Source organism: Homo sapiens, chromosome 18 (genome assembly GCF_000001405.40).
Source record: "Homo sapiens chromosome 18, GRCh38.p14 Primary Assembly".
NCBI lineage: Eukaryota > Metazoa > Chordata > Mammalia > Primates > Hominidae > Homo > Homo sapiens.
Genome location: NC_000018.10, coordinates 8,619,370 through 8,643,848, shown reverse-complemented (window position 1 = coordinate 8,643,848; position 24,479 = coordinate 8,619,370). Strand labels below are relative to the sequence as shown.

The 24,479-nt window shown below is 41.5% G+C and overlaps 1 protein-coding gene and 1 long non-coding RNA gene across 5 annotated transcripts in view, besides 6 other annotated features; one reads left to right on the top strand and one right to left on the bottom strand.

Annotated features, from left to right (window-relative positions):
* Positions 1 to 4,465: 4,465 nt before the first annotated feature.
* Positions 4,466 to 24,479, bottom strand: part of RAB12 (RAB12, member RAS oncogene family) — a 29,947-nt gene continuing 9,933 nt past the window's right edge. The window contains exons 1-6 of one of the 4 annotated variants that reach the window (XM_006722300.4): positions 19,706 to 19,865; positions 18,851 to 18,911; positions 10,522 to 10,660; positions 8,227 to 8,316; positions 7,492 to 7,596; positions 4,466 to 5,700 (exon numbers count right to left, since the gene is read on the bottom strand). In XM_006722300.4, the coding sequence (XP_006722363.1) occupies positions 5,587 to 5,700; positions 7,492 to 7,596; positions 8,227 to 8,316; positions 10,522 to 10,660; positions 18,851 to 18,911; positions 19,706 to 19,835 (639 nt within the window). In that variant the 5' untranslated portion in view covers positions 19,836 to 19,865 and the 3' untranslated portion in view covers positions 4,466 to 5,586. Of the gene's footprint in view, positions 5,701 to 7,491; positions 7,597 to 8,226; positions 8,317 to 10,521; positions 10,661 to 16,239; positions 17,027 to 17,854; positions 18,049 to 18,850; positions 18,912 to 19,705; positions 19,866 to 24,479 lie in introns of those variants that run through there. The other 3 variants (NM_001025300.3, XR_001753165.2, XR_001753166.2) reach the window with 3 other exon arrangements.
* Positions 7,320 to 8,519: an enhancer, noted in NCBI's record as "BRD4-independent group 4 enhancer chr18:8635328-8636527 (GRCh37/hg19 assembly coordinates)". NCBI's record gives its function as "activates an origin of replication core promoter dependent on BRD2, P300/CBP, MED14 and CDK7 cofactors, and independent of BRD4, by STARR-seq in HCT116 cells {active_cell/tissue: HCT116}" and the evidence as "EXISTENCE:reporter gene assay evidence [ECO:0000049][PMID:35650434]".
* On the top strand, positions 7,501 to 8,187 carry RAB12-AS1 (RAB12 antisense RNA 1). The gene is made up of 2 exons (NR_199004.1): positions 7,501 to 7,660; positions 8,050 to 8,187. It is a non-coding gene; the product is annotated as an RAB12 antisense RNA 1 (long non-coding RNA).
* Positions 12,745 to 13,305: an enhancer, noted in NCBI's record as "H3K27ac-H3K4me1 hESC enhancer chr18:8630542-8631102 (GRCh37/hg19 assembly coordinates)". NCBI's record gives its function as "activates a minimal SCP1, AML or CMV promoter by ChIP-STARR-seq in naive H9 embryonic stem cells {active_cell/tissue: H9 hESC(naive)}" and the evidence as "EXISTENCE:reporter gene assay evidence [ECO:0000049][PMID:30033119]".
* Positions 19,320 to 19,972: an enhancer, noted in NCBI's record as "H3K27ac-H3K4me1 hESC enhancer chr18:8623875-8624527 (GRCh37/hg19 assembly coordinates)". NCBI's record gives its function as "activates a minimal SCP1, AML or CMV promoter by ChIP-STARR-seq in primed H9 embryonic stem cells {active_cell/tissue: H9 hESC(primed)}" and the evidence as "EXISTENCE:reporter gene assay evidence [ECO:0000049][PMID:30033119]".
* Positions 19,973 to 20,625: an enhancer, noted in NCBI's record as "H3K27ac-H3K4me1 hESC enhancer chr18:8623222-8623874 (GRCh37/hg19 assembly coordinates)". NCBI's record gives its function as "activates a minimal SCP1, AML or CMV promoter by ChIP-STARR-seq in primed H9 embryonic stem cells {active_cell/tissue: H9 hESC(primed)}" and the evidence as "EXISTENCE:reporter gene assay evidence [ECO:0000049][PMID:30033119]".
* Positions 20,626 to 21,278: an enhancer, noted in NCBI's record as "OCT4-NANOG-H3K27ac hESC enhancer chr18:8622569-8623221 (GRCh37/hg19 assembly coordinates)". NCBI's record gives its function as "activates a minimal SCP1, AML or CMV promoter by ChIP-STARR-seq in naive and primed H9 embryonic stem cells {active_cell/tissue: H9 hESC(naive and primed)}" and the evidence as "EXISTENCE:reporter gene assay evidence [ECO:0000049][PMID:30033119]".
* Positions 21,279 to 21,932: an enhancer, noted in NCBI's record as "OCT4-NANOG-H3K27ac hESC enhancer chr18:8621915-8622568 (GRCh37/hg19 assembly coordinates)". NCBI's record gives its function as "activates a minimal SCP1, AML or CMV promoter by ChIP-STARR-seq in primed H9 embryonic stem cells {active_cell/tissue: H9 hESC(primed)}" and the evidence as "EXISTENCE:reporter gene assay evidence [ECO:0000049][PMID:30033119]".

Genomic DNA, 24,479 nt, shown 5'->3' with positions numbered 1-24,479 from the left:
TAGTTGGTGGGAAGTCAAAATCCTGCTTGGATGGTTATTACAAATAAATAAGGAACATGCTACTATATACTTAAGCCAAAACGTTAGTAAATCTGTTCAGACTGTGAGAAGACAGCAAGGAGTCTAAAGACCTGGGGCTCTGACCCAGCTCTACCCCTTGCTAGCTACAGAGATCTGGGCAAGTTGCCTAATCTTCCTGAGACTCAGTTAAATAGACAAAACAATACCGTCTACAAGCAATTAGAGGAACTATCTCTAAATCTTGGGTACAGTTGAGGAAAAAAAATCTCTTCATTTGGGGAAAGTCCAGAGAAAATGGAATTTCTGAATCTGGATGACAAATGGAATTTCTGAATCTGTTTGATGACTTGTCACAGTAAGCTTGCGAGTATTTTTGTGTACAGGGAGAATAATTAGAATATATGTATAGATCAGTGACTGCTGCAAGGATGCAAATGAGAAACTAGGGACTTCAACTAATGCAGAAGGTTGGAGAAGAGGATTTAATTCAATGGGGCTTGAAGACCAATCGGATGTAGGGAATAGAAAAGAAGTCAAGGACTCCCAAGTTTCAGATTTGGGAAGCTAGGTAAATAGTGGTTACTTTCACTGAGGTATGAAATATAAGAGGACAAGTTGGAGGGGGCTGGTTTATAAATAGAAGGTAATATCAGTTTTAATGTCAGTTGATTTAGAGGTGTCCATAAAACCAAGGTGGAGATGCCAGTAGGTAGTTTGATGGGTGTATTTGGAGTTCAGGAGTAGTCTTCACTAGTCTTGGAAGTCATCGGTGTACAGGTAGAGGCTGGGCCACTGTACACTGACAGTTGGGCCCTGACCTCTCTCTACTCTGAGCTTCCCCAGGACTTGGTGCGTCTTCCGTGGATTCACAGAGGCTGCTCTGCCGCGTGTTCTAGTTATGGATCCGCCATCCCTTGCACCTGAAACTCGAGGGTCGTTGTATTGATCTAGGCCTTGCACAAAGCAACCACACAGCAAATTTCAACTGTTACTACAGTGTCACAACAGAAATAATGGGTTCCTTCTATCACGTCCTGACCCACTCATCACTCTTATGCAGCTTGTAAGCCAAGTTACAAATTCTAGGCAACGCGTAATCTATACACAAGGACTTTCCCTCTCCCTGGTAATGTAAGTCACTCATGGAAAAAGACCTAATTTGAGGAAGCTTGTTTGAGAGCTGGAGACATGCGAGGTAAATCTCCTGTTCTGTTGTCATCAACTAATATTCACCCCTCACATTTCATTGTAAAGACTTTAAGCAATTAGTTAAATTAAACCAGCTGCCCACTAGTGACTCCATTTTGAAGCCCCAGGAGATAGAAAGAGAACCAGCTGGAGATGAGTGTACAGAGAATGAACCTGTTGTTTCCCCACTGCTTTACAAGAAATCCACTGTAATTCTCCACAAAGCTGCTCAACTCCAGGATGTTTAGCATCCAGTTCACAGACCAGAAATACAACTTTGTGGCCCCAACAAAATCTGCAGATCTTGTGGTCTTGGGTGGTTTTTATTTGTTCTTAGATTATGCTCCTCTCCATCTACATGGATGACTGAAAATTCCTTTTATATCTGGCTCTATTTACTTCAGAGTCTCTGTGAGAACCAAATAAGACACTAACCTAGGACAATGAGCTATAAACGTATAAAATATTACTTGCGACTGTTCTTCAAAAAGACAGTTCCTAGCTGGGCATGGTGGCTCATACCTGTAATCCCAGCACTTTGGGAGGCGGAGGCAGGCAGATCGCTTGAGCCTGAGTTTGAGACCAGCCTGGGCAACATAGTGAGACCCCCATCTCTACAAAAAATAGACAAGGTGCGTGCACCTGTAGTCCCAGCTACTCAGGAGGCTGAGACGGGAGGCTCACCTGAGCCTGGAAAGGTCGAGGCTACAATGAGCCATGATCGCACGAGTGCACTCCAGCCTGGGTGACAGATAGAGACCCTCTCTCAAAAGCAAAACAACAACAACAACAACAACAAAAACACAATAGGACAGTTCCCTTAAAAAATCTAGAAGAATGGCCGGGCACAGTAGCTCACACCTGTAATCCCAGCACTTTGGGAGGCCAAGGCAGACAGATCACTTGAGGTCAGGAGTTCAAGACCAGCCTGGCCAACATGGTGAAACCCGTCTCCACTAAAAATACAAAAATTAGCTGGTCATGGTGGAAGGCACCTACAATCCCGGCTACGTGAGTGGCTTGAGTGTGGAGCATTGCTTGAACCTGGGAGGAAGAGGTTGCAGTCAGCCGAGATCGCACCACTGCACCAGCCTGGATGAGTGTGTCTCAAAAGACAAAACAGAAATCTAGAGGGATCAAACTGCATTTCAGCTGATCAGACAATGGACTGCTGGGCTGTCCAAAGGTGAGACAGGCCACTGACAGCATGAGAACCACTGGCCAAGCAGATACTGAATAACCAGCCCCTATGACAATGTGGGAATTAACAGTCTAGAAAATTTAGCTCTAGTCCCACGCTCACAAATCGTACTCATTGGAAGAAAAACCCAAAAGTATACTTACTGGAAAACCTAAGAATAAAAATTTAATCAGTCTGGGCCAGTGGTTCACACCTGTAATCCCAGTACTTTGGGAGGCCAAGGTGGGTGGATCACCTGAGGTCAGGAGTTTGAGATCAGCCTGGTCAACATGGTGAAACCCCATCTCTACTAAAAATACAAAATTAGCTGGGTGTGGTGGCGTGCACCTGTAATCCCAGCTACTCGGGAGGCTGAGGCAGGAGAATTGCTTGAACCTGGGAGGTGGAGGTTGCACTGAGCTGAGATCACGCCATTGCACTCCAGTCTGGGCAACAAGAGCAAAACTCAACAACGACAACAAAAATTAAACTCAAGAGCTATAAACCACACTGCCTTCTTGCAAAGTCCAACTGTAACCCCCAAACTATCCTACTAAACAAGGATAGCACTTTTGTTAATACTACAGTTGACAGACTGAAAATGCAGAAACTAAGATTGAGTTGTAAACATAAAATAGACCACAGATTGCTGAATGAGCTACAAATGCCCATGCCAAACACCACCGTTTTTTTTGTTGAACTCATCTTTGAGGATCTGTTTCTTGAGATCACTCCTGGTTCCAGGTCCTCTATCAGTCAGGAAGACAGACACCAATGCGGGATATCTAAACAGAAGGATTTAATACAGGGGACTACATGGTTGTTCAAATGCTAAACCAATGAAGTGAAGGAAGCAGCTACCAACCCTAGGGCCCTGGGGGCAAAAAGGGGAGGGCACTGCCACAACTCAGGAGCTCAGAGGAAGGACCCCTGCAAGACTGGGTCCAAGCTTCTGAGGAGGGGAGTGCAGACTCGGAGGAGCAGGACCCTGGGGGGCAGAGGGACTGCTGAGGGTACAGTCCAGCAGGGGCTGGAATGACCCAGCTGGCAGGACACTGAGAAGCCCAGATGCCACTGGTACCTCTGACAGGGCACAGTGAGGTTGGAGCCAGGGGTCCCGCAGGAAGCTGGAGGCTAGAGCTGGTGGTCTGTTGTTGCTCCAGGGAGGCTGATGGGAACGGAAAAATGGCAAGCAAGCCCCTTCTTCCCTCCTGCCAACTTCTAGCTCTCCATCAGCAGATTTTAACAGGAAGAGCAAGAGGGTTTGGCAAATATAGTTGGGAGTCCCAACCCCAGCATCACAGAGCAGAACACAGAAGGGCAGGGTGGGAGGTGAGGGTAGGTAAATCACCAGCAGTCGTAATCGACTGTGGCTGATAAAGGCATATACACGAACTAAAAATCTTTTCTGGAGGACACGACAATCCAGTTTGCTACAGCTCAGTGGCACTAAAGAAGTCCCTGCACACTGCTGTGCTGCCATCGCCACCGTCCATCTTCCCCAGCTGAAACTCTGCACCCAGAAACAATGCTTCATCCCCTCTCCCGCCCTCCTGGGAACCACCATTCTACGTCATCTCTATGAATCTGGGTGCTCCATATACCTCATGTAAGTGGAATCAGGCAGTATCAGTCCTTCTGGGCCTGCTTATTTCACTCAGCGTAATGTCTTCAAGATTCATCCGCGCTGCACATGTGACAGCATTTCCTTTCTTTTTAAGGATGAATATCCCATTGTTTGTAGAACACACATTTTGTTTATCCATTATTTTGCTGATGGACATTGGGGCGGTTTCCACCTTTCGGCTCTCGTGAACAATGCTGCCGTGGGCACTGGTGTACAAGTACCTGTTTGAGTCTCTGCTTTCGATCTTTTAGATATAAACCTAGAAGTCAAATTGCTGGATCATATGGTAGCTCTATGTTCAGCCCTTTGAGAAAACATCAAACTCTTTTCCCCAGTGGAGGACTATGCTTTTCCTGTCTAAACACTCAAAAGGATTAAGCTGTGGAGCTCATGGAGAATACTGTCATATATACAATTTATAATTGGATAAATAAATATGGCAACTCAACTTCATTCATAAATACAAAATTTTATTTGCACTTCATTAGTGTAGAAAGACCACAATGCTTTTCATACCACAACACTCAAGACACACCAAGTTATTCAAATACATAATTACTTAATTACCTTGACTAAACAAAACAGTGCAGTTTAATAAAAGATATACCAAAGATAGAGTTCACAAATTCATCATCAGACCAAAAAAAAAAAAAAAAAAAAAAAAAAAAAAAAAAAAAAAAAAAAAGAACACAGTCTAGGCTTAATCAGAATAAGCTTCACCGTAAAGAAGGGGGAAGTTTTATCATTACAAAGGTACAGAGTGTTTAGGCAAATACACGTATGTTCTTTGATATAGTAAAATGCATCTCTTTAAAATTCCTTTAAACAGGATTTGTTTAGGACAGCAGCGTGTTTTAAAATCTTTTTCTATAGTTTCAAAAACATTTCTTTCTTTATTGAATCTTTGTAGTTCTTAAAAGCATAAAGGTACATCCCTTAGGAAGCCATGAGAGAGATTCTGTGGCCTTAGGACCAAGTCAAATCCAACCCTCTAACTAGTAATATTCTACCATTATGTAACATTAATAAATAACCTTCCATGACGGCCATGAATGGAGCTTTGCTTCGTGGCAGAAACACTCCAATACTTCAGATGCTACCACTGGGGGAAATGTCTTGTAAATAAAGAAAAAGCACTTAAGATAGCTTTTTTTCAAAAAGTCTTTAGTTTTACAAATTTTCTTTAAAACGGTAAGCAAAGCACCACGTTCTCTCTTATCAGAATATCTTCTGTCCTCATAATATAATTAATAAGGACAATTATATTATTTATTTCAAGAAACATTATACCTTTCATTTCTCCCATTCTTCATATTAGAAGTACTAGGTTTCCCAGTGTATGTACACTAGACACTGGGGTAATGAATGAAATATAATAATTTGGAGGGAAATAGGTAACTTATAACCAAAACTTACCCAGGATTGCATATATGCATATTTACAAGTTAGTGTATAGCTCTGACTTGGATTACAAAGTGCGAAAGGAAATTGTCAAAATGATTGTAGTGCAGAATAGAACGTTTTTTCCCCTTTCCAGGAATCATTTCCACTTTGTCTCCAAAGTAGGAAATCAACAGCATCGGACATGTGGTCTTGGTGGAGGCAGTTCTGGCGGTATCTCAGGCTCTGGTTGTAACGACAGGATACTATTGGACAACTCATTCCTTAAAATATCCAGAGGCATCTAACGTATAAACAAACAAAAAAAAATCCGTTTTAACTTTACAAGGTACACATACAGCTGACCCTTGAACATGAGTTTCAACTGCACAGGTCCACTTATACACAGCTGCTTTTCAATACAAGTTTCACCTGCCTCTCCTGCCTCCCCACTCACCTTCTCCTCCGCCTCTGCCACCCGGAAGAGACAGCAAGACCAATCCCTCCTCCTCCTCCTCCTCCTCAGCCTACTCAATGTGAAGATGACACAGATGAAGACCTTTATGATGATCCACTTCCACTAATGAATAGTAAATATATTTTCTCTTCCTTATGATTTTCTTAATAACATTTTCTTTTCTCTAGCTTACTTTAAGAACATGGTATAAAATACGTATAACATACAACCTATGTGTTAAGTGACTGTTTATGTTATCAGTAAGGCTTCCAGTCAGTGATAGGCTTTTAGTCGTTAAGTTTTTAGGGAGTCAAGTTATACTCAGATTTCTGACTGTTTAGGGGGTCAGCACCTCTAGCCCCCTTGTTGTTCAAGGGTCAACTGTAAATGCTTTCCAAATTATACAATTATATAAAAAAAAGTATTATTATTGAAAGTCCTCCGATCGTTAAAGATCAATTAGACATTAAAATATTAAGCCAAAAAAAGCCATGTTCAAGACACTTCATATCACAACATGAACAATGCCCAGCCTGCTTAATACCCTATGGTAGAAGAGAACAGATCAACCTCATAAACATATATTTTCACAGAACCAGGCAAAATAAAAATACATTAATAAATTTTAAAAATGGTCTGCATTCCAAGGAGTTGCATACTTACTAAAGACAGACATAACCTACCTTGGCAATTATATAAACTTTTTTTTTTTTTTTTAAATAGAGACAGTGTCTCATTCTGTCACCCAGGCTGGAGTGTAGATACGATCATAGCTCACTGTATCAAATTCCTCAAATTCCTGGGCTCAAGCAATCCTCCTGCATCAGCCTGGGTAGCTGGGATTACTACAACCAGGTACATGCCACTACACCTTGCTAATTTTTAAATTTTTTTTGTAGAGATGGGGCTTCACTGTGTTGCCCAGTCTGGTCTTGAACTCCTGGCCTCAAGTGATCCTCCCACCTTGACTTTCCAAAGTGCTGGGATTATAGGTGTGAGCTACCACACCCAGCCTAAACAATTACTTTATTAGAAGCTTCTGAATTATGTATGAACTGAGCAAATTTCACTTAATAACATAAACTTCAGTTCTTATTAACAATTTTTGAATGTAAGCCTAAAGATGCCTGAAGAAACTGCTGCTGCTCAATGAAGCTGTCTAGCAATTTTCTTGCAACTCAGCATCATGGAAAGGTCTCTGTAAGGAAGTGGCTCCCACCAGGGAGCAGAACAGGAAGGGATGCAAGCGCAGCACCACGGGGCTCTCTTTTCCGCTAAGACACCTGCAGACTTGGCTAGGTCTCCAACTGAATTCTCACAGAAAAACGGGGGTGGGAAAACAAGCAAATGTCAAATAAACACAGCATATTGCTACACCCTGTTAAGTCTACCCTGCTGTATCTTAAGGCGAAGCAAGTATGCCATATACCAACCCCAAGGACACCAGAAGCCCCTGGGTGGGAAACGGCTACAGCAGGCCGGGTGCCTGTGGCTGAGTTAACAACCATACCTGGTTCTTGCGCCTGAGCACAACTACTGTATTTTGGTTTCTAAATACAAAATTCTCAATAAAAAAGCAATAAAGGAAACAACAGGTTTCAGATGATATACTTTTATAATGTAGATTCTTTTTTTTACCTTTTTCAGAATGTCATCGACAAGTTTCAAAAATATCTCGTCCACATTGAAGTTATCCTTGGCACTTGCTTCACAGAACCGCATCCCAGTGATCTGCTGTGCAAACTGAGAAGAAACACACACCTATTTCCTCTGTGTGGGGCCTCACAGACCAGCGTGCGAGCATGAGGTCTCTGGGCTCAGCTTCAAGGGAAGGGCTGGGATTAAGGGGTAGAAAGTCCCACTGACGCTCAAAGATAAAGTTCACAAGTGTAGCAAATTCTTACATTATAAGCAACTAGCAAAACAAAAGACAATAAAAATCCTGAAGGTGATGCCGGGACCTTCCAGTCAAATCAGTTGCCTAAGTTTCTAAAAGTGTAACATATCTGACATTTAAATGTGAATAGCATCGTTTCTCCATGATTCAATCCTTAGCAAAAACCAAGGAAGTTTAAAGTACGTTAAAGTAAATTATAAAAGCAACTTTATGGCTTAAAATATGTTTCTCTGTATAAAATGTCAGGTTAGATAATAATGTTGTATACACTGATGTGTTTTTTTCTCCCTCCATTTCAGAATGAATTTAAAGGAGCACGAAGTCAAAAAAGTGCAAACAAATTAGGAGGATGTGACTGAGTTATCACTGTATTGATAATTTCTTTGTAATTTTTAAAATAAGTAATTTATTAAAAGAAACAGTACCTCAAGCGCTAAGCACAGTGTGTGGCAACCGTGCCTCCCACGCCCTCTCACCTTTTCCCCCTGCTGCCTGGTGATTTCTCTGTCCGTTTCACAGTCCAACTTATTTCCAACTAAGAGAAGCTCTGCATCTTCTGAAGCATACTGTGGAATTTTAAAAGAAGCCACATTTCAAAGATGGGCATCGCCATATACTGACAGCAGAAATATAAACCGATACAGTATTTTTCGCTAATTTACATTTGTCCATTCACTTCCACTGTCTTTGAGGTTCTACCAGTTCCCAGGCAGGACTGGGCAGCAGTGCAAGGCAGGGCTCACTGTGTCTTAGAAAGAACTAGGGCACAGGCATTAAGAACCACAATGCTCTTGGCTGTTGACCCAACAATTCCCAAGACCTCTTCCTAAGGAAATGATTCAACATACAGGCAAAGCTCTACACTCAAAATGGTTATCAACTGAAAAACCTACAAGTCAAACAAAATGGCTCAAGAATCAAGTTATTTTAAAAACACAGGCATTTAAAAAAACACACGCTTCAGAAGAACAGAGAATGACACAGGAAGGACTCCATGACAGAATATTCACAAAATAAGCAAGACGTAAAGCTAAATACAGTGAAGCCAATTTGGTTTTTCAGGATGCCAGAGGTACAGATTTCTTCTTTACTTTTGTGCTTTTCTTCATTTTCCAAATTTCTATAATGAAGGTATCATTAATTTTATAACCAGGAAAAAAGTTAAGCTACATTTCTAAGTTTAAAAATACATATAGGTACAATGAGATTTCTGTCTTTAAAAATGAGGTTAAAATCTCTTGAGCAACTAACTTGTCGTTCTAAAAAGTTACTTGAAACAGACTGCAACAAAAGGAACCTGAATGGTGTGGCCGTGGGCCAGTTACGCAGCCAGGTGAGGAGTGCCGGCCCCTTATCAGGGAGGTGTGGGTAACAGTGACAGCACCCACCGCAGGGCTGGGGCAATGGGCCCCGCACTCAGGAAATGATGCTCTCACTCAAGTAAGGTGAAAAGCAGCAGTTGATGACAAAAGGAAGACAGCATCAGACCTCAAGACCTGGGTGGGCACAGACTCACAAACTCAAGTACCAAATGGGGTAGGATTTAGGCCATTTCTTTTGGTTTTGTATTCATCCTATTAGTTCTAAAAGTTTTAGACTATGAGGACTGTCCACTTCTAATTTCCACAGGATTGCACTCTGTGACTTCCGTATCAGGGAACATCAGTATCCACTGATGTGCCAATGGAGGGCCTGGTATGACTGATGCCCAGTGCAGAGCAGGCTGGGGCAGGGGCCCCGCCTCAGGTCTGATCCAACCTTGCAACCCTGATCCTAACAACTTTTTTTTTTAATGAAAAAAAAAAAAAAAAAAAAGAGAGAGAGAGAGATGGAGTCCCACTATGTTGCCCAGGCTGGTCTCGACCTCCTGGGTTCAAGTGATCCTCTTGCTTTGGCCTTCCAAAGTGCTGGGATTACAGGTGTGAGTCACCATGCCTGGCCACCAATCCTAACACATTTTAAAGAGGCATACATCATCAATGACATGCTTGGTAAAGCTGGCAAACATTCTCCAATGTTATCTAGCAGACAGGTTTAAATGCAATGTGTAGATAAAATCCAATTTATATTGCATATGCTTGTTATGCAAAGGAACTAAACATGAAACTACTGCACGAGGGGAAGAAAACTCAAAATGTGGTCAATGGTATATCATCACATCCCACTCCCAACTGCTCTGCCTTCTAAATGTGTATTTGGGAACATGTTTCTTAGCGGAGAACCCACGGTTCACATTAACCACAGGGACACAGCCTATCTGTATGATTCCATCACGAGCCAAAGGAGAACTCGAGCTCCTCTTGCTCAAAATGAGGAGCTAAAGGGCATCTATAATTGCGAGGACAGATGTCCAGTGGGTGACGGAGGCGCGTGGGACATCCGCAGGCACCGTGGAGAAGGCCATCTCCTCAAGGTTGTCACTCAGTGGACGTGCATGAGATGAGTGTCCAGGTGACCTTTCCGCAGAAATGAAATGTCTTATATCTATTCCATGAAAGCAGCTGGATGTAGTGGAATGAGCATGTTTGGCCTCTGTAGTTGAGACAGTCCAGGATACCAGACGAAAAATCCTGATTCTGGATAAATTTAATTCTTCTTTGCCTCATCCACAATACAGGACTACATCCCTATCCCGAAGGCTATATATGGGCTAAATGATGTTTAGTCTATATGAAAACATGCTCAATACATGTGTTTCCCCTCCTTCTTTTAATAATGATTAAGACTCACAAGCAGAGAGTTCACATTGGACAGAAAAATGCAACATTTACCTTATCAATCATCTTCATCCATTTCGGCAAATCATCAAATGTCTCCTTCTTAGTGATATCATATACTAATATGATCCCCTTGGCACTTCTGTAATAAGCTGAGGTAATGCTGTTGAATCTCTCCTGACCTGCTGTGTCCCTAAGAAAAAGCAGCCAAAGTCAGTTCCCAAATAATGCCCAAAGTGAGCACCATCACATTCCAATGCAAACATAGATTATATGCTGCAGTTTTTCTGCGAAAAAAGAACGAGAGTAACCCCTATTTCCCTTTGACCTGATGACCACACTTAAAGAAAGTAGGAAAAATTTAGGTTGACTAAAACTATGACATAGAAAATACCTTTATATTTAACAACTAAATTAGATTAATGGAGATGGATTATGAACCAAGATCAACATACTCTCCTGAATAACTTTTTCCCTCAAGACAGAAAATCAGCAACAGGAATGCTAATATAACATCAAAATATATGATGTTTTCCTAAAATAAAATGGGGGAAAAGTTTTTAAAATACAGAGTTTCCAAACAATCAATCCCTAAGAATTCACATTGTAGGTGATTTACAAAACCATTTGTCATACCCAAGAGCAACAATGCCACACAAGAAACACACACTTGATACACATGCATGACCCACTCCCCGCTCACACACACAATAAATGGTGGGCATCCTAGGATTGTGAAAATGAATGCCCTCCAAGCCACAAAGAATTCATTTCTCAGAGCTCACTAACCACCACCTAGAGTGCTGGGGGCAGGCGTGGGGCACATGTGGCAGCTTACGATGACCACTTCAGGAAGAAAAGAAGATCCACAGTTACAACCCTAGCAGGCACAGTCAGGCCAGCAGCACTGAGTCTGTGGAGACAAGCAGAGCCAGCTCTTGAGAATGCCTCTGTCTGGGTCCGGCCACTGGAAGCTCCTCAAGTCTGCACTGACATCCGTGCACAGCCACTACTGTCAGCCACAGTAGCTTTTCTGAACAAGTTACACTCAAACAAAAACATCAATAAGTCCCAATTACTTTTTTTTTTTTTTTTTTTTGGAGACAGAGTCTAGCTCTGTCACCCAGGCTGGAATGCAATCAGTGACATGATCTTGGTTCACTGCAACCTCTGCCTCCCGAGTTCAAGCGATTCTCCTGCCTCAGCCTCCCGACAACCTGGGATTACAGGCATGCGCCACCATGCCTGGCTAATATATTTTTAGTAGAGACAGGGTTTCACCATGTCGGCCAGGCTGGTCTCAAACTCCTGACCTCATGTGATCCACCTGCCTTGGCCTCCCAAAGTGCTGGAATTACAGGTGTAAGCTACCAGCCCAGCCTCCAATTACTTTCAAACCAAGATTTTGAAAATTAGAAAACAAGAATTTTCATAGCAGAAAAGATCTGAAAATCCTTTACAGAGTAAAACTTTTAATTTTTTTTTCAAATGAAATATCTTTCCAGAGTGAAATTTTGTGCAGAAATGAAGCATGAAAGTAATTTTTTATTTCTTACCTCATACCTGAAGGATTAATGTTAGCCAACATTAGCTTTGTAATCAATGTGCTGACCTTCTAGAATAAATCATAAGGGTACAAGGAAATTTAATACTCTAAATTATAGATGTGCACTTGACCATATTTCTTCCCCTTACAAAACCATAACTTCTGTTCTAGAAGGTTCTGAGTCCCCAATCTACTACACTCAGAGGGAAACAGACATGGAGGGAGCCCGAGGAACAGTGAAGATGTGCTGGGAACCGGGCAGTGGGCTTTTTCCCAATTTTCTCAGCAGCACTGGCTCAAAGGCTCCCTGGCTTGGATGACAGCCGTATCTGAGCCGCTCTGCAGCCAGCAGGGCAGTAGTGGGCAGAGTCTCATGGCACCCGGGCACTATTCTTGGCCCCATGACTTGGCTTCTTGGAAAACTCAACCTCTCTGAGCTGAGCTCTGTTTCCTCCTGTGTAAAATGGTGGAAGCTGTAACACCTCTATGGTAGGCTGTTATCAACAACATGAAAATGTAGGACAATTGACACTATTTAAGTCTACAACTCTCCTTTAACTGACATTGATTGTTAATATCTGGTTTTGTTGAAAAGATGACCAATAGTCCCACACTTATGAAAAATGCTGTAGAATTAGCCTTGTTAGGCCGGGCGCAGTGGCTCATGCCTGTAATCCCAGCAATTTGTGAAGCTGAGGTGGGCAAGTCACCTGAGGCCACGAGTTCAAGACCAGCCTGGCCAACATGGTGAAACCCCCGTCTCTACTAAAAATATAAAACTTAGCTAGGCATGATGGCAGATGCCTGTAATCTCAGCTACTCAGAAGGCTGAGGCAGGAGAATTGCTTGAGCCTGCGAGGCAGAGGTTGCAGTTAACTGCAATCGCGCCACTGCACTGCAGCCTAGGGGACAGAGAGCAAGACTCCATCTCAAAAAACAAAAACAAAAACAAAAACAAACCAGAATTGGCTTTGTTATTTTCTTAACCCTAGACAGAATAGGTGGTCAAAGGAAAAGGGAGGAGAGATACCAGATAGGTTTGCAAATATGGTAAAGTTCATTATTACCCAACTGCTCCTTTGAAATCTAAAAGCGTTCTTTTTTCTCCAGGCTGACACTGGCCACATCCACATGAAGAATGTAAGCACATCAATCAGTACAGATGCCAGCTGAGCCCTGTTTCTCCTTTTTAAACCAAATATAAAATTTGAAGTCCTCCCACAACCATCTGAATGGACCTCCCCTTCGGCCAGGGCACTCTAAAATTTAACCTGAAAGGCTGGTGCTGGCCATGATGAGCAGTGGGGGTCAGACATTCCTCACTCTACCCTCCAGCATGAACATGAACACACACTTTAAGTCTGGTAAGAAACGTTTAGTCTCTTCTCTCTGAAGCCAGCTACTTAGAGGCTCATCTACATGATAAAACCTAGGTCTCCACAACCCCTTATAGTAACCCAGACATTGCTTTCTATAGATAATAACTCTTTCAACCAACTGCTAATCAGAATATGTTTAAATCTACCTATGACCTGGAAGCCCCAGCCCCTTTGAGCTGTCTCACCTGTCCAGATCAAACCAGTGTAAATCTTACATGTATTGATTGATGTATTATGTCTCCTTAAAATGTACAAAAGCAAAGTGTACTCTTGACCACTTTGGGCACAGGTTGTCAGGACCACCTGATGCTGTGTCATAGGTGTGTCCTTAGCCCTGGCAAAATAAACTCTCTAAATTGATTGAGACCTGTCTCAGATACTTTTTGGTTTATATCTTATATTATGATAAGCCTAGAAACTGAGAACCACTGCAAATTTCTAATTCCAATAAGGCTCAATGGAGAAGGCTTCCAATCAGGAAGGACTAACACTTGCAAAGCGATTTCTTTAAAGACCATCTATGATTTAGCTTTACCCAAAGAACCCCAACCAAGTGCGCCACAGTGGAGTAAGCTGGGGGGCAACAGGCTCTTCCATGCAAGGCCACCAGAGCCTCTCACCACACAGCAGGGAGTTCCTGAAAGGGGAGGAGAACACTTCCCTTAGGCACCTGTGGGACTGGGTCCCTAGAAACACCCCTTGGCCATGCTGTTACAATTTCTGGTTTCCTTCAGAGGAGACCTGCCACCAAATTAGTTCACATCAGTGATGCCTTATTGTCAAACAAGCACGAAAGCTCACTGGCAAATTCATTTCCACATAAAGTGAAGCCATTTGCTTTGCCTCAGAGGATATGAGGATCCCCTGCTGCCCTGACTGGAAGGTGAGGAGGGCAGAGGTGGGTATGTTTCTGTCTACCCAGGTCCTGCAGTACACGATCAGTAGACATGCGCTGGTAACATGTTTAAAAATTAGAAAGTTGATGCCACATCAGGCAAGGCAAAGAAACTTCATCTTTTGGCCTCAGAACTGCAAAAACAAAAAAGGAAATCTGAAGAATATGATAGACGAAGACTGAATTCTTCAGGATTTCTAAAAGCAACTTAAAGACCACACTAATAGTCACCTTCAAGGTGGCTGAGAAGGAACAGAGTTAGATACCATTTGGTTTCCATAAAGAGTCAATGAATAAAATTATTTCTCTAATCCTAGGCATTTAGGGGTATACTTTACTACTTCCAAACCAATAAAGAGTTAAATCTTTCAGAGGATGGTTTACCATCCTCCCAAGTTATGGCTTGTCTAAATTAGGATTCAATCAAATGTTTTTAATGTTGAAAAATATTCTGTGCTATTTGAGTACTGTTACAAAACATTCCCCATTTCTTTAAAAAGTTAAAAATAATAAGCATTTTTTCTACTCTGAAATCAGTGGTTAACACAATATCGCTGAACCACAAATTTAAATAACAATCAGATTTAAGGTCTTCAATAAGCATTTTAGGAATTACATACTTTAATAAACTTTTATTCTAGGTAATTTTAATCTGGTTTTCAGTATAAGTCAACTCACATGCACTTCCATTCACATTCAATGACTTAAGAATCCAGAAACTGGAGGCACAAAACCAGAGAAATTACAGATAATAGGAGTTTTAATAAAAACAATCAAAGAACAGGGATAGTAAAAGGCAATTTTGATGTAGCTTAAAATGTTTTTGCATGAATAGCATACTCAGGAATCTTAGAAACATTAAGAAGCTCACCATTAAGAAGTCAGCTGCCTCTACTGACTTTAAGTCCAATGTAAAGAAAGAGGATAGAAACCTCAAAATTCAAAACCTGAGGCAATCGTCCTAACGCAAATGAGCAAACTGATTTAGTTGACAAAAATCCCAATGAGGAAACATGAACTAGTTCAGCACTCCCCATTTAAGCCCATTCCTTAAATGCCACTGTTTGGGCCTGGCTCTGAAGGCTGGGGGTAGAAAAGCATGTTTCTTTGAGAGACGATTCCACACTCCCAAAATATTTGGGTTGAGAAAGCTTTTATTTTCTATTCCTCTCAAAAGTGCCTTTGCTTGATTTATTTCCCTTACATACTAAATTATCTACTATCAGGTACGGCCAAAGAATAATAAATGAAATGTTGATTCCATTCAGCAAGTATTTCTTAAATATCTACCGTGTGCCAGCACCATAAAAATCCCACACAAATCTCTCCTTTTCAGAAAATTAGATTACATCAATGCACTGATCATGCTTTCACCTTTCTATGAAAAGGCAGAATCCTAATATTTCCCTCTTTTTCCCCATAAACTTGAGTTTTCACTGTAATGATAAGGTGCGGATTTCTAGAGGTTTGCAAGTTATGAACGTCAGCTCAATCATCGTTTACTACAGTTAGCATGCCACCTTATTCTGATTTTTCTATCTGGTTTTTGTGCAATTGAAAAATTCCTGCAATTCTGTTTTCCCAGTTTGGTGATACAACAACGCTTGGAGAATTCAAAGCCTCTTATTTGCTGTATTTAATATAGCCACTTAAATTATTTAATTACTAATTTTCAGGGCACACGCCAATATAGGGTATGAAATATTCCCCCTCTTCCAAGCAGAGAACAAAAGGAATGATGCTGACCTAAGAACGCTGGTTAAAACAAAGTCCCCCAACAGTGGACTGGTCCGACAGGCAGAACAAAGGGCCCTTATATGAAGCATTTCAATTCTGTGTTTGCCTAAAGGTAAGAGGCAAATTTCACGGCTTCAAGTCCATTTCAACACAACTCCAAGTTCACTGTAAATAATTTCTAGGACACCATTTGGATATAAATTCATCAAACTACATCCTAGTCAACATGTTTTATTTTAGCTACTTACATAAAGTTCTAACATTCATGTAGAAATACTTTAAAGTACAGAGAAGAGAAAAATGGTCCTTTTTCTGACCACAGGTAATCAACAAACTGAAATATGTGGCAATGACATAAAACGTGACGTAAAAATGTAACAGACACCTGCAGCTTTTGGTACTTTTAGCTTTTAGGAATCTATAGTAAATAATGCACTTCTTCCAACAAGATCCTCCTATGAAAACCGAATGGCAATGCTTTCATGCCAGTCTAGAAAATCGGAGCAGAGCTATCTATTATTAGCATAGCACAATCCACTGCGCCTCCTTGAGGGACCGTTTCCAGCTACACAGGCGCCTTCTATGCCCTCAATGGATGAGAGTGAAACGACGACAACACGCCCACAACAAAGCAGGTTACACCAGCAGCAGCACAAGGGCTGTGCCTCACTCCTAAAGAAGCCACGCATTACTTTAAAACAGTAATACAAATTACAATCATGATTCTAACACTTCCTTTTTACCTGCTGCATAGCAATAATGAAGGAAAAGGTTTTCATCTTTTAAATAAAATATTTCAGAAGATAAAAATCTTATTTTGAGTATTATGTGATCAACAAAATGGCTGGCCTGTAGTAGATATATGAGTCACTGTTCAAAACCTTCCTGCAGGAAAAGAGTCACTGGAATATTCCATGTAGAAAACTTGCAATCAACCATTCCGTAAGTCCAATCCATTTCATTCTTCCTCCCTTAGTTACGCTCTTTGCCCATGCTGTACAGCTGCACAGATTTAGAGAATGAAAAAGTAGTAAAGAGTCAAGGGAGAATCAGGAGAGGGAGAGGGGTCATTTGGAGAATGCTTTCATATACAAGAGAAAAATGGTTTCTGAGTGCCCGCTGCTCTTCGTGGAGCCACAGTATCTCACTTTCTCCCCGAGGGGGATTCCATCAGGTAGGGCCCTCTTATCTCAGAGTCAAGGACATTGTAGTCAGATTCCAGGAGTGTACAATGTCACCAGCATAGACTTAGTGGGCAGAGCTCCAGGGAGGCACCAGGACATTTGGACATACTTTATAAATCATTTGGACATACTTTATAAAGAATACTGCCGCCAAAGATGAAGATGGAAGTATTAATGCATTAATTAAGACATGTGCCACAGTCATCAGGCATGGCTGTCACCAAGGCAGGCGTCACACATTCTAATAATGTTTACATCACTTTTGTGGGGCAATATTCTCATCAGAAAGTACCTCACACAGGTACTAGGAACAGAGAGAGGCATATCCCAAATCCTTGTGAAGATGGTCTTTACCTTATAGAGCTTATAATTAGAAACAGCAGCTTGTGTGCCAAACACTTTGTTGCCATTTCCAGCGTTTAAAAGCTGGGCAGCAATGCACAAAAAGTCTGCGGGACTAGCACAGGAAGAAATATCTATTTGTTGTTTATTCAAGTATTTAGACAAGACCTAATGTTTCATAATCAAGCCAAAAATGAAAATATGCAGACCAAATGCACAACAGAAAAGAAAACGAACAAAAACCCAAATCAAAAAATCTTAGAAGTGTGTTATACAGTGAAGGGTGACCAAATGAAGATATTACCTCAGACACCTCCAGAAGGCAGGCACTGCGGCTTGGCTGCAGCTGCGGCCCAGACAGGGACACGGATGAAGAATGAAGACATGGCACTAACATTCAAGCATTAGGTGACCGATGATGCCACAGATGAAGCAGCAATTAACGCAGATGAAAGCAAACACACACATGGTGGACAAACAATCAGAGCTGAGGGTGACCTGCCAAGAGGAGTTAGTAAGCTGAGTACACCGCAGCTGTAGCATTCAAAACAAAACGGCATTCTCAGAGCACCTCAATGGGGCTACTTTTAAGCCACCGCCAGACCACCAGACCAGATCTTATCCCTTCTTCCACAGACAGGTCGCTAGCACCTGCGGGCTGTTAACAGGTTAATAGCTAACAGAAAGCTCTTAGTGCTGAGTGCAGTTATAACACAGCTGGTTGAGTCTCTCATTCCAATTGTGATTTGAGAAAGGGGCCTGGATTCATTTCTAGTAGGCATTAGTGGGGGCTCACATCCCGTGGAATCAGCAGTACAGCCGGAAGGAGTATGCCCACCCGCAGTAATAGTCACATTGTGCCACCAAGAAGCTCTGGAACTGTCTGCAGGGGACCTGCCTTCAGATTGTGCAAATCTGGTTATGAACATATTGGGCTTTCTTTGAATACTATCATACAAAATAAAGACATGAAGACAAACATTTGAGCAATCATTTTAGTGGAGACAGTTTTGATATCACGTAAATAATTTGAAAATAGAGGCAAAAAGGTTCCAAACTAGCTACCATTAAAGTAACATTCTTCTGTCCACAACTGCTCCCCATGTGCAAGTGGCATATAACATAACAGCCTTATCTAAATTCTCTCTCTTGATGGAAACACTGTCCATTTAATTTTAAAATGAGCAAAAGAGGAGAAAGTAGGAGAGGCAAATCAGCTCAAACAGTTCATTTTATTAGACAAGTACATGGACTGTTAAACACACACAGCACATTACTGGGTGCACACTCTCCCACTTACCAGATCTGTAATCTAATTTTCTTTCCTCTTAGCTCTACAGTTTTGATTTTGAAGTCAACACCTGTAAATAAAACAAATAAATGTGAAGCAAAAACAACAAAGATGCAATTTGTCATACAAAATAATCCTATTTGTGTATTTTGTTATCATTATCAGAAAAAAAGAAAACCCCACGAAACCTGACATCACTTAATTCCAAGGAAAAGCAGTATCTGCACCAGTGTCTATAACCTCCCATCTCTCACGCTTCAGTCCACACTGGGAAGGTCAGCCCATGTTATGTCTTATCCTGAGTGATCGGTCTAGTATTTGCTGTTCATAACACAACTTATAACTACCACAGTTCAGCATAGAAACCAGTTTAAAATTACATTTAATAACTACATCAACAAATAAGTGGCTTTAAAAGGATGTTTTCTCAGGGAAAATTCTTATATGGAACACTGGAAACTTAATCAAACTTAATCAACTTTAGTCAAATAGCCTTAGTCTGAATTTAGAAATTATTGTACTAAAAATTTCAGTACTCATGAAAATTTTAGGTAAATATAAACATAACATTATATGATCAACAGTGAGAAGATTTTAAAATTTACTCTTACACAAATTAACATACCCAACTTTAATTTTTATTCATTTTAATATTACTAAGCAAACCATCATGTATATTTCCTTTTCAATTTAGCCTGTAAAGCTTCAGATATATTTTTAAAACCAAGTTTTCATTTGTGTATGCTACCTTATATGCCTTCCAGTTATACAAAATGTAAATATTTCACAACAATATTTTATTACACAATTTTCATAACTAAGGGAAACAAAAGGGATGCTGGCTGAATTTAGAATTAGAGGCACCTTCCCTACAGGAACGACTTCCTGACAGCTTCCTTGGGACCCAGGGTGTAGACGATCCCAGCTCCCCGGGCCAGCAGGTGCCCATGTTTGTGAGTGGTATGGTGGCTGCAGAGGGCAAGGCCCTGGCCATGCCCCTGACTGCCCGTCTCTGGGCACCAATGAGGTGCTGCAGTCAGATGAGGCTCTTGAGGGGAAGTGGAAGACATGTGACCGATTTTTATAATTAGTAACACTGTGGACACCAATGCCACACAAAAGGCATGTTTACAGCCCTGGGGCAGGGTGTGGCCAGGGAGGCAGCCCTCCTGCCCTAGGAGAGAAGTTGCATGAATATAAAATGTCACAAGAAAACAAAGCTAGAGAGCACTACTCCATGTCAATTCTTAACCTCTCACATAACACATAATTTCAGATGTCCCTGAAGGAAAGCTACTTAATTCAATTTCACTTTCAGTTCTGGAAATGATTTGCTTTCCAAAGTCAAAGGAAGCTCAGACACTGCCTTGACCCAGGAAGCAGGTTCTGCATGATGGAGAACTTGAAGACAGTGGCTTAACACTCAGCTGCAAGGAAACTGCAATTTCAAGTGACACTACACAAGACGCACAAAATAGCGCAGATATTTGCTATCTGGTTTAAAGCAGCACAGTTTAATGACAAAACACTGTCTTCATATTAATGTAGAGTTAGGATTTCACTGCTGCCATGCTACTCTGTGATGGAATTTACTAATCAAATGCATAATCTGTGATGACTACTATTCTATTGTTGCGGGAAGTCAGGGACCCCAAACGGAGGGACCAGCTGAAGCCATGGCAGAAGAACGTGGATTGTGAAGATTTCATGGACATTTATTAGTTCCCCAAATTAATACTTTTATAATTTCTTATGCCTGTCTTTACTGCAATCTCTAAACATAAATTGTGAAGATTCCATCGACACTTATCACTTCCCCAATCAATACCCTTGTGATTTCCTATGCCTGTCTTTACTTTAATCTCTTAATCCTGTCATCTTGTAAGCCGAGGAGGATGTATGTTGCCTCAGGACCATGTGATAATTGTGTTAACTGCACAAATTGTAGAGCATGTGTGTTTAAACAACATGAAATCTGGGCACCTTGAAAAAGAACAGGATAACAGCAATGTTCAGGGAACAAGAGAGATCACCTTAAACTCTGACAGCTGGTGAGCCGGGCGGAACAGAGCCATATTTCTCCTCTTTCAAAAGCAAATGGGAGAAATATCGCTGAATTCTTTTTCTCAGCAAGGAACATCCCTGGGAAAGAGAATACTCGCCTGGGGGTAGGTCTACGGGGTGGCGGGGGGCCCTGGGCGTGGCCGTCTTCTATGGTCAAGGCTGTAGGGGTGGAATAGACCCCAGTCTCCCGTAGTGCTCCCAGGCTTATTAGGAAGAGGAAATTCCCACCTAATAAATTTGGGTCAGACCGGTTGCTCTCAAAACCCTGTCTCCTGATAAGATGTTATCAATGACAATGGTGCCTGAAACTTCATTAGCAATTTTAATTTCGCCCTGGTCCTGTGATCTTGCCCTGCCTCCACTTGCCTTGTGATAGTCTATTACCTTGTGAAGTATTTGATGTCTGTGACCCACACCTGTTCACACACTCCCTCCCCTTTTGAAAATCCCTAATAAAAACTTGCTGGTTTTGTGGCTTGTGGGGCATCACGGAACCTACCGACATGTGACGTCTCCCCTGGATGCCCAGCTTTAAAATTTCTCTCTTTTGTACTCTGTCCCTTTATTTCTCAAACCGGCCGACGCTTAGGGAAAATAGAAAAGAACCTACGTGACTAACGGGGCAGGTTCCCCAATATTCTATTTTACTTTTGTTTCCAATTTCTTCAAGTAAGTTAGTTTTTAAAATGTAATTAAAGGAGCTGTAACTTTTGTAAACCTTGTGGCAGTGGCTGCGACTTTATTGAAAATAACTGGCAGATGATATTTCTTTTGAGCTCTGCTTCAAATTGACTAAGAGTCCCTGAAACAGCTAGAGCAGATAATCTTTGTTTTGACTACAGTTTTCTCTGCTAACAATGGAGTCTGAATATGTCAGACTGCCTTTCCCAACCAACTTGAACAACTTACCGAACTCCAGCAGTCCTACACTAGGACTATTTTGTAATCACAACATTTAATGAATAAAAATAAAAGGCTAGGACATTAATATTCAAAATCAGGAAATAAGTGGTAACATTATCACTATGTAATTATAAACACATTATTAGTTCTAATAGGAAAACAAAGCAAAGATTACCCGACAGTAAATAGGGCTAAGAACCTGTTTTAGCATTGAGTACTCAGACAAAAAGAAGGGAACAGACACTGGGGCCTACCTGAGGGTGATGGGTAGGAGGAAGGAGAGGACTGAAAAACTACCTATCAGGTCCTATGCTCACTGCCTGGGTGACAAAACCATCTGTACACCAAACCCCCATGACACGCAATTCACCCATGTAACAAACCTGCACATGTACCCCCTGACCCTAAAATAAAAGCTGGAAAGGAAAAAAACAAAAGAAAAAAAGAATCTGTTTAGCCAAAATGAAGACTATCTTATAGTGAGTAGATGAATGACAATTAACAACACAACAGAAAAATACCCAGTGGCCAGATCTACGGTTCCATGAGTAAAACCAGTTCCTTAAAACAGTCCTCGCTCTTAAACAAAATATCCTATACCTATACCACATCTAACAGACATTAAGTAGCCTGCAATGACTGGAAACTTAATCCAATTTTTGGCTTAGAAACATATACCTCTATCAAAGTACATGACTAAACATTTCTAAAAACTTTCTTATATTAAAAGTCAAAAATATCCCTTAATGTTGTCTATTTTTAATACTGGGATGTCATAGAAGTGATAATGATCCTCAATAAAAGGAAAAAAGTCATGAATAACCTCAAATATCTGGCAGATGATTTAGGAAAAGTCAACAGAGTTCCTGTTACAGAAGAGGAAATGTTTACAAACAACCAAGGGACAAAGAGGGTGGCGACTTCACTACTGTCTACAACCCTGTTGAAAACCGGTTTCCTACAGGTTATCTTGACTAAGGGAGGAAGCAACGAGCCCCCACCACTGTTGATGGGGACAGTCCCTGCCTTTGAAAACCTCAGTCATACTGACCTAAATTAACACACCATGCACTTGGCAAAGCATCTGTCTTTGCTGTTCTCTCTTCTTAGAGAAACTCCTTGTCTGCCCAGAACCCTCTGAAGCCCTAGATTTCCCATCTGACCTCTTCTGACTGCACCCACCTTTACCCTTGTCTTTATCTATGTTCCAGTTCTTGGCCCTGAACTCTCTTCTAGCCCATATCACATCGTTCCTTCTTTGCTGGCCTCCCCGACAGGCTACGTGCCTGCCCTCCGAGGATGTAGTCATCTTCAGCCCCCTAAAGTCTAGGACACTGCCTGGCACACAACAGCAACTCAATAAATTTGATGGCTGGAAACTGCTCCCTCTTCTCCATCAAATGCTGTATATGTAAGAAGAAATGCAAATTATTTTTGGGAAAAAATAGGGAAATTCAGGACTGATTAGTTAAAAAAAAAAAGGCATCTGAGTAGCAGGTGTGGAATGGAAGCAGTGAACGCAGGGGTGCCCAGGACACAGGGGAAATATGAGTGTGTGCAGCAACACAACCTCTCATTTCTCCTACAGTTCCTCACAGGATGGGGCAGACATCCTTGCTCACAGCCTCTCCCTACACACACTAATCTCAGAGGATTACGGTAACAGTTTCTCCATTCAGTCCCTTAGATACAGAACTGGTCTACCAGGTGAATTAGTCTGGTGAGAGGAGCTTGCTTTTCTTTAGGCTTACCAGTTTTGTGGAAGTCTTTCTAAAAGTATTTTAACAATGCTTTCTAAAAGCACGCAGGCTACAGAGATACAGTATTATCAAAGGTCTTAGACTGCTCTGTTTAAGTCAGTCTTTTTTTTTTTTTGAAGCAAAAAAAAAAAAAAAAAAAAAGAAGAAGAAAAAAAAAAGAAGGCTTTGTCACCCAGGCTGGAGTGCAGTGGCAGGATCCTATATAGCTCACTGCAGCCTCCAACTCCTGGGTGATCCTCCCACCTCAGCCTCCCGAGTACCTGAGTCTACAGAAGCACACCACTGTCACTAACTGATTTTGGTTTTTGTAGAGATAGCATCTCACTATGTTGCCCAGGCTGGTCTCAAACTCAAGCGATCCTCCTACCTCAGCCTCTCCAAGTGCTGGGTTTATAGGCATGAGCAACTGTGCCGGTGTCTTATTCTTGACCTTAATTTCCTTTAGTACTAATGACAGTGGACATCTGTCAAATACTCCATGTCTAATACCCAACATATCCAAGCCTCACAGCAGCCCAGTGACGGGGAAACTATTACCCCCATTTTATAAAGGAAGACAACATGATGAGCAGAGAGAGGACAGGGTAATTTGCCTACAGTCATACCACATGACAGAGAAGCAGCAGAACCAAGACTCAAATTTACACCACTGCCCACAATGAAAGGTTATTATAATAAAAGTCAGATGGGTGAAAAGAGAGAAAAGCGTGAGATGTTCTGAAGTGGCTCATAGCTCCCACAGCCAAGCTGTTAAGACAAGGCCTGACTCTGCGCTCTGCCTTCTTGCTGGCTGTCTTTCACATGTCTAGCAACAGCGGGAGGAATCCCTGGACTTAGTGCTTGTAAGATTTCTATGTTCCCCTTAAAGCGAAACATTTGCACACTACTGTTTCTTTTTGCTGGGCCATAAG